Consider the following 7,963-nt stretch of genomic DNA (forward strand, 5'->3'; position numbering starts at 1 on the left):
TGAGGTTAATTTGAATGATATACTTAACCCAACATATCAAAAATATTATGATTTCAACATATAATCAATGTAAAAATTGAGATGTTTTGCTCTCCTTTTACATGAAGGGTTTACAATTTGGAGTGTGTTTTACACTTACAGCTTCTCTAAATGTGGACTAGTCACCTGCTAGGTGTTCAGTAGCAACACTGTGTTGTGCAGTGCAGGTCTAGGTGCTGGCCCTTCCTGGCTTTGGTGGTGGTACCTGGAAGCACTTGAGCGCTGACCCTGCCACCCGTCGGCCCAAATTCCAGACCCAGCCTTGTGACCTTGAAGAGTGCAGGTATTGGGCCGCCCTCCTCTCCCTAAGAATCTTTGCAGGTATGGAGTTCAAGGGTTCTCCTTCATTCAGCTAGACAAGCTGGCTGTCCCAGGTGCAGAGGTCAGGATGACTTGCCTGGTTGAGAAGAATGGGAAAGTAAGAGTTCTCCACCCAGGAGTTTTGTTCTGGGCTGCAGAAGAGCCCAGGCGTGGGACTGGGGCTGGAGAAGGCTGGTTTTTGCCCTTAGTGCCAGAGTTGAGGCTTTCTCTGTTTCCTAATGAGCAAGTCCAGTGCTTTGACAGCACCACTAATCTTAAGCCAGTCCCTTCTCCTCTCGGGTCGTCATTTGTGAAATGGGAATTTGTGACTGCTACCTCAGATAATTTTCCTGAAGTTAAACGAGAGGAGAGGTGAAAAGCGCTTTGTAAACTGCAAAGCGCAGAGCATAGCAGGGCTGAAAGGCTTTAAATAAGCGCTGCCTTGTAACAAAGCCTCCTGGAGTGTCATGATAAAGCCCCGGGAAGGAGAAAGACAGGGTGGGAAAGAGCGGACATTTTCGTCCCCCATTCTACTTGTCAACTTGCGGGACAGGTAAGATTGTGCCAAAGGCGAGGGTCAGCATCAGGAGAGAGAGGACGCTGCGGGGAGGGACCTGGTTGTGTGCTTCAGGTGCCCCAAGGGACACGGAGACGCGCGAGGGTTGGGATCAAGGCGTTGAAGACAGAGCGACAGCCCTTCTCGGCCTCCCACCGGCCGACGACACCAAGAGCTCGCGCACCGGCCGGGCCAGGTGGGAATGGGCGCCGCGCAGGGGAGCGAGTACCTCGGAGACAGTGCGCGCCGCCCGGGGCCTCATCCACAGCGGGGTCGCGGGCGGCCCCCTTAGCCCGCGTGACTGTGGGATCCTGAGAACATTCCGCTGTATGTCTTGGAACCTTCTAACCCTAGGAATTTGCAAACCCCTCCCAGTCCCTCATCTGGGGGCTCAGAGACTGGAGGTGCCTTTTTTATTTTTTTCTTCTTCACTTTATGAACACAGAAAAATCGTTTGTCCCTCTCCGGGCCCTGCACCCGCCAGCGTCGTGTGCAGGCGTCCCCGGGCTGTGGATAATTAGACACGTTCTTCCCTCATTGCCCAAGGCTCGTTAGAATTCGCCCTAGAGCTGTATCATGTATTTTCTTTCAAATTAACTTTGCTTGCAATTAAGCTTAGGGAACCAGCAACAAAAGCAAACTTGGCCCGAGGTCGTTCACCGCGAAAATGGATTAGAGAAACTTCTTCCCCGATTTAAGGGGAAAGATTCCTGCGGCCAGCGCTTTGGGGAAAGTGCCCCGACCGCAGAGGCGACGACAGGGGAGCAGGAAGCTGCTCACGGTAGTCGGCGTTGGCGGCAGCGGTGGCCTTCCTCATCTGGGCGATGTGGGCTCCTAGAAGAGTAAGGATAACATCCTGGAAATGACTTCTGTACGGTTTGAGCCCAACTGCACACTCATGACTTGGAGCTGCCCTGTGGAGTTACAGTTTACCAAACACATTCATGAACATAATCTCATTTACTAAAAACTTTGTGAGAATTTTCTTTTACTAAAATTTTTTCTTATTACAAAATCAGTAGTGTTCATTGTTTTAAAAGAAATAACAGGTAAGAAAAATAAAGAGGGAGGGAAATAACAGCAAAAAAAAAAAAAAAAAAAGGCTGGCGGGGGGGAACCCATAGTTGGCCCAGAGAATGCGCAGTTAACGCTTAAGTATATATCTTTTCTGGAGTTTGTTTTTGCTTTTGACTTTTCCCCTATACAGGAGGCCTGAGTCTTGACTTTGTCACTAAATTGCTGTGAGGTCTTGAACAAATTCCTTCTGGCATGGAGTGGGCCTGTTTCCCCACCTATAAAACTGGGTGCAGGTCCCCTTTTACCCTTTCACATTTTCTAATGCCTCTTCTTTTGGTCACTTGAATGCAAGATGCACTTCTGCAAGGGCCAGGAGCAAGGCCTGGGGGCAAAGGGAGGCAAGCCCTCCCTGTTGGTTTACACAAGAGATGGAGGTCGGCTGCAAGGACATTCCCTGGGAGCTTGCTAGAAATATTGGTTCTTTGGCCTCACCCCAGACCTCCTAGACCAGAACCTGCCTTTCTATAAGACCCTTAGGTGATTCCTATGCCCTGGTCAAAGAGAAAGAACTTTGAAAAAATGTGTTATTGAGATTAGAGATGCCAGAATAACTTCTAGAAGCCTCCTGTTTCTGGCCCGGAACCCCAGCTAGCACTCCAGCGCTGTCTTGTGGCTCTGACCACAGAGAGCAGAGAGGGCAGGGTGGCAAGGGGACAGAGATGGGGTGGAGTGCTTCATCTCCTCCTTTGAGTACTTTCTGAGTCTTGGAATCCTAGCCCTTAGACTGTACCTCATCTCCTGTTTCCAGCTGTATGGGTGACTGTGACAATGACATTCAACAAGAGTATATCTGAAAACATCTTGAAAGCTGGGGTGACAGAGCCAGGGCAGGAAGCCACGTCCTGATTTCGGGCTGAGGCACTGTAGGGACCTTGGGTTCAAGCTCTATACCCTCCCTTAGCAACAGTCAATTGCCTGAGTATAGAATAAACTTTGCCTCTGACCCCTCAGCTCTAGCCCCAAGTCTGAGGTAGTTGAGGGTTTAGGAGAAAAATTAAGCTTTCTGTTCAGGACACAATGGCCAACTGGAAGGGGTCCCTGTCTCCAAGTCAGTCTGGGCCAAAGGATCCTCTAGTAAAAGCCTAAGGTCCTCCTCAGTGCCCTAAGGAACCCTCCCCTGCCTTGAACACATACGAGCTTGACTTTCTGTGTGTGCTCAGCCTGTTCCTGAGGGTAGACATGACAAGATAGCTGGGGGAATATGTCCCTGATGAAAAACAGTTCAGACAGGGGCATGTACCATGAAGGATGGGGAAGGGGCCCAGATTGGGAAAGCATGTTCCCAGGATCACATTGCACCACATGGGGAGAACCAGGATTTTCATCTCATTGCTTGTATAAGTTCCCAATAGAAATAAATAGGAATATTGTGAGTGTGTGTGGAGCCTCCATAGAGCCATAGAAGGGGTGTGTGACTTGCCCAAGATATGACAGTTACAAGTGTCCAAGCTGGACTAGAACCTCTGCCTCCCCCAATGGAGACTGCATTTGATTATCATCTTAATGAAGGTAATATGGAAGTAAAAGTAATCTGGTGAGGATGTGAAGGTAGGGGCTAAGGAGTGGGGATGGACTGCAGCTTGAGGAATGGACTTACCTGTTAAATAAATAGCTTAGAACTACCTTGAGAGAAAGTAGTGTAGTTAGTGCTCCTCAGGCCAAACTAAGCAGTGAACAAAATTTTAAATGGGATGGACAGGCAGAGTAGGGGCGAGATGGAATGCCCTTAGTGAGTTCTGCTCTCCTGCCCCGGCCCTCTCTCCAGCATCTCCTCTCCCTGGCTGAGGCCAAAGCCAGCCTTTGCAGAGCCCCTGGCATGGTCCTCAATGCTTGGCCTCAAAAGAGGAATGCTGTCTGCTCCCTGTGGAGTTCCTGAACCCCTCTGCCAGCCCCACACTCCCTCTTCTGAGAACGGAAGCTCGGATTTCCAGCTCAGCCCAGAAGGGTTAACCAGGAAGCACCTAGTCAGACACCCAGGGAACAGCTGTCAGCCCCTCCCAGGGTGAGGAAGAGATTGGGAAGCCAGAATCAGGGTGGATCTCAGCCATGGGGCAGAGCACCAGTTTATCTCGCTATCTGAGAACCTGGAGCAGTTTCTCAAGTGGGGGTGGTCAGGGCAGAGCCCCAGTCATGGTTTCTCAGGCATGGAGGTGCTCTGCAACCAGGCAATAAATTGAGAGCCACCACCTCCCAGGACTCAACTCCCACCTCTGCTCACGGCCCCAGCAGCCAGCCAGGGCCTCCCAAGAGTACTCCTGCCTCCATTCTGTCCGTGCTGCCAGCTTGCCTCCCTGAAGCTGAGCTCCAGTCCTGTGGAGAAGGCTGCCTGCCGTCTGCAGTAGAACGCTTCAGTGCCTCACCTGGCACTTGGGACCCTCGGTCATCCTTATGTCAACCTTCTTGCCGGCCACGTCTCCCATAGCTGCCTTCCCACACCCCTAGGCTGCAGCCAACACACCATTTGCTGTTCCCTGACACTCCCATGTGTTCCTGTCATCATGAATTTGCCCTGACCATTCCCTCTCCAGGAACCACCTAACCCCATGCCACGCTTCCACAGCCGCCAGCCCTCCAGGACCCTGTCATCTCTCCCGGATCACAGTGCCAGCCCCTAACAGGACCCCCTGCTTCCTCCCCTGCTCCCTTGGCAGTTTTCCCTACAGCAGCCAATGTGTGACCCAGCTCAAAGCCCAGCCAGACCATGTCACTCTCTCACAGAGGCCCAGACCTCAGGAACAGGGAGTGCAATTAGGAACATGGCGTTTCCACGAGCAGTCCTGTGAAGGGTTTCTCACAGTATGAAGAAAACTACATTTAATATGAATGTTTTCAAAAATTTCCACTCCCACATCATAACACATTCTCTTTTTTTGAGATGGAGTTTCACTCTTGTTGCCCAGGCTGGAGTGCAATGGCGCAATCTCAGCTCACTGCAACCTCCGCCTCCCAGGTTCAAGCAATTCTCCTGCCTCAGCCTCCCGGGTAGCTGAGATTACAGGCATGCACCACTATGCCTGGCTAATTTTGTATTTTTAGCAGAGACGGGGTTTCTCTATGTTGAGGCTGGTCTCGAACTCCTGACATCAGGTGACCCGCCCACCTCAGCCTCCCAAAGTGCTGGGATTACAGGCGTGAGCCATCGCGCCCGGCCAACACATTCTTTTATCCCAAATTTTTATCAAAACCTCACACAACTATTCAACCTTGTGTGAAGTGGGGTCCGCCTTCATTTTCCCTGCACAGGTGCTCATAAAGAATGGTGTCCTCTCCTGGGGACTGTGCTCAGGGCTTTTGATGGCAGGGCCATGTTGAGGACAACTGTCCAGCAGGCAACTCCAGACAGGCATGAAACAATCCACCCTCTTTCTGCCATATAAATATCAGCTTATTTTGAGAAGAAAGTGTGCCAGACACTGCTAGTTGTCTACCCACCCATTTTCTTCACTTCTTGTTTGCTCGCAAGACCCTGATTTTGTTCAGGTTTCAGTTGGTTGTGTCTTATCCCTTGGCAGTGAATCTTGACTTGCATAAGGTAAGCGCAGTCACTATCCTATCACTCTTGTCAGAGATTGATTTGGAAACAGGTACAGGATACTTTCTGGGCCAATGAGATGTTCAGGAAAGTCTGCTGTGGACTTCTGGAACACATTCATTTGGTCTTAACAAAAAATAGGGGAGGGCATGGTGGTGTATGCCTGTAATCCCAGCTACTCAGGAGCCTGAGGCAGGAGAATCACCTGAACCCGGGAGGCAGAGGTTGCCGTAAGCCGAGATCGCACCACTGCACTCCAGCCTGGGTGACAGAGCCAGACTCTGTCTCAAAAACAACAATGACAATAACAACAACAACAACAAACAAATGTATCCTAACTGATACAGAAAGTGACCATGAAAGGGCAGGGGAAAACTGATTCTTGATGTATTCCCTTTGAGACTTCTCTTGGCTTCTTATAAATAAATGTGCAGCTAACAGACTATCTAGCCCTACCCCTTGTTTTATGGAAGAGAAGCCAGAGAAAGTAACTTTCCAAGGTAACAGTGAGTTATCATTGTAGACCCTAGTTCAGGGCCCTTCCACAGCTCCAGGGGCTCAGCAGGAACAAAACTAATAATAATCCCAACATTTTCCAAAAGCCACTTTGTTCAGGGAGTACCAGCCATTTTCACAGGTGTTATCTCTTTGGATCCTCACAGCTCCCCTGGGAAGCAGAAGGTTTCAAATGCACCCTTTTCAGGCAAGGAAACTAAGGTCCAAGAAAAGGGGTAATGAGCTCAAGTCATGTGACCGTTGCACACAGGAGGGACCAACCCTCAACCCGGGTGTAACAAATCCTCAGTAAAATGAACCAGAAATCTGAGGCTCCTTCCTCCCTGGATGTAGGAATCAGGAGGCTGGGAGAATCACCTGTTAGTGTTGACTGGCGCTTGGGAATCCTCTGGCTTCGAGCCTCTGAGTAGGGTGGATTCTCCATATGCCCCTGGCTTATCTCCATACGGCATGTAAGGCTTAAAGATAGTGTCTTTGAGTGTGTGGATCCAGTTGCTTCGGATCCAACAAAGTAGGATGGTTAGTGACCAAGCTGAAGGGAACTGGCGTTTGCTAAAAACAAGCCCTGCCGTTGTGGGACTCCTGTCACCCCACCCAGAACCCTCCCAGCTTCAGCCAGGGTTGGTTCCACCAAGGCGAAAGCTGCAGGAGCAGGCCTGTAGTTTACAGAACACCTGGGAGAGGCTGTGGGTAGCTGGGTAATTTCCAAATTAATTGCAGGAAAAAACTAACAAAACAATCTGCAGGCTAAGCATCCCGGGAGCTCACCCATGAGACTGACAGCCTGGAATCCAGCAAGTACAATGCCGCCGACCACAGACAGGAGGGCCTTTCCTCCTTTCGGGGAGGAGGGCTGACTTCCAACAAGGACCCGTCTGGGCCTGCAGCTGGGCCAAGAGGAAAGCAAAACTCTAGAACCAAAACAGCCTTTCCACCCAAAACCAAACTACAATAAACATAAGCAGCTTTCCCGGAACTGCAAGTTTGGCTAGACCAGAGAATGATCCCCTGATGGAAGGCTTGTTTTCTCAGCAAGGGAGTTTTGGGCCTCATTTTGAAAATTTCTTCCTAAATTCAGACTCAGGAAACTAAGGCTGCTCCCACTGCCCCCTGCAGACTACACACAGGCACGAAATGAGCCTTGAAGCCTCTGCTGTACTCTTTTTTGTTTGTTTGTTTGTTTGTTTTGAGATGGAGTCTCACACTGTGGTCCAGGCTGGAGTGCAGTGGCACGACCTAGGCTCACTGCAACCTACACCTTCTGAGTTCAAGCGATTCTCCTGTGTCAGCCTCCTAAGTAGCTGGGATTACAGGCGCCCACCATTACACCCAGCTAATTTTTGTATTTTTAGTAGAGATGGGGTTTTGCCATGTTGGCCAGGCTGATCTCGAACTCCTGACCTCAGGTGATCTGCCCACCTCAGCCTCTCAAAGTGCTGGGATTACAGGCGTGAGCCACGGCCTGCTGTACTCTTCATAACCGTCAAATCTTACCTTTGTTGATACTTTGCAGCTTCCCAAGAGGCTGTCTGCCTTCGTGAGAAAAGCACTGGTTTAAGTCCTGGCTTTGATACCTGAGAAGTCTTAGTGCCCCCGAAAATCCCCTACGGAGGTAGTGACTATGAACTAGAAAACAGTGGGAGCATAGTTGAAGCCAGGCAGTCTGGGTCCAGAGCTTCTTAGTAGGTGCATGCCACTGTGCCCAGCTCTATGTTTAATCTTTTGAGAAACCACCAAACTTTCCCATAGTTACTGCACCATTTTGCATTCCCACCAGCAATGCATGAGGATTCCAGTTTCTCCACATTCTTACCAGCACTTGTTATTTTCTGGGGTTTTGTTTGTTTGTTTCTGTTTTCTTATAATCATCCTGGTAAGTGTGCAGAGGTATCTCATTGTGGTTATGATTTGCATTTCCCTAGTGACTAATAATGTTGAGCATT

The 7,963-nt window shown here is 49.9% G+C and overlaps 1 annotated feature.

Annotated features, from left to right (window-relative positions):
• Positions 5,864-7,680: an enhancer, noted in NCBI's record as "VISTA enhancer hs1596". NCBI's record gives its function as "enhancer in: facial mesenchyme[3/11]" and the evidence as "EXISTENCE:transgenic organism evidence [ECO:0001131][PMID:17130149]".

The sequence above is a fragment of the Homo sapiens genome, chromosome 9 (assembly GCF_000001405.40).
Source record: "Homo sapiens chromosome 9, GRCh38.p14 Primary Assembly".
Classification (NCBI taxonomy): Eukaryota; Metazoa; Chordata; class Mammalia; order Primates; family Hominidae; genus Homo; species Homo sapiens.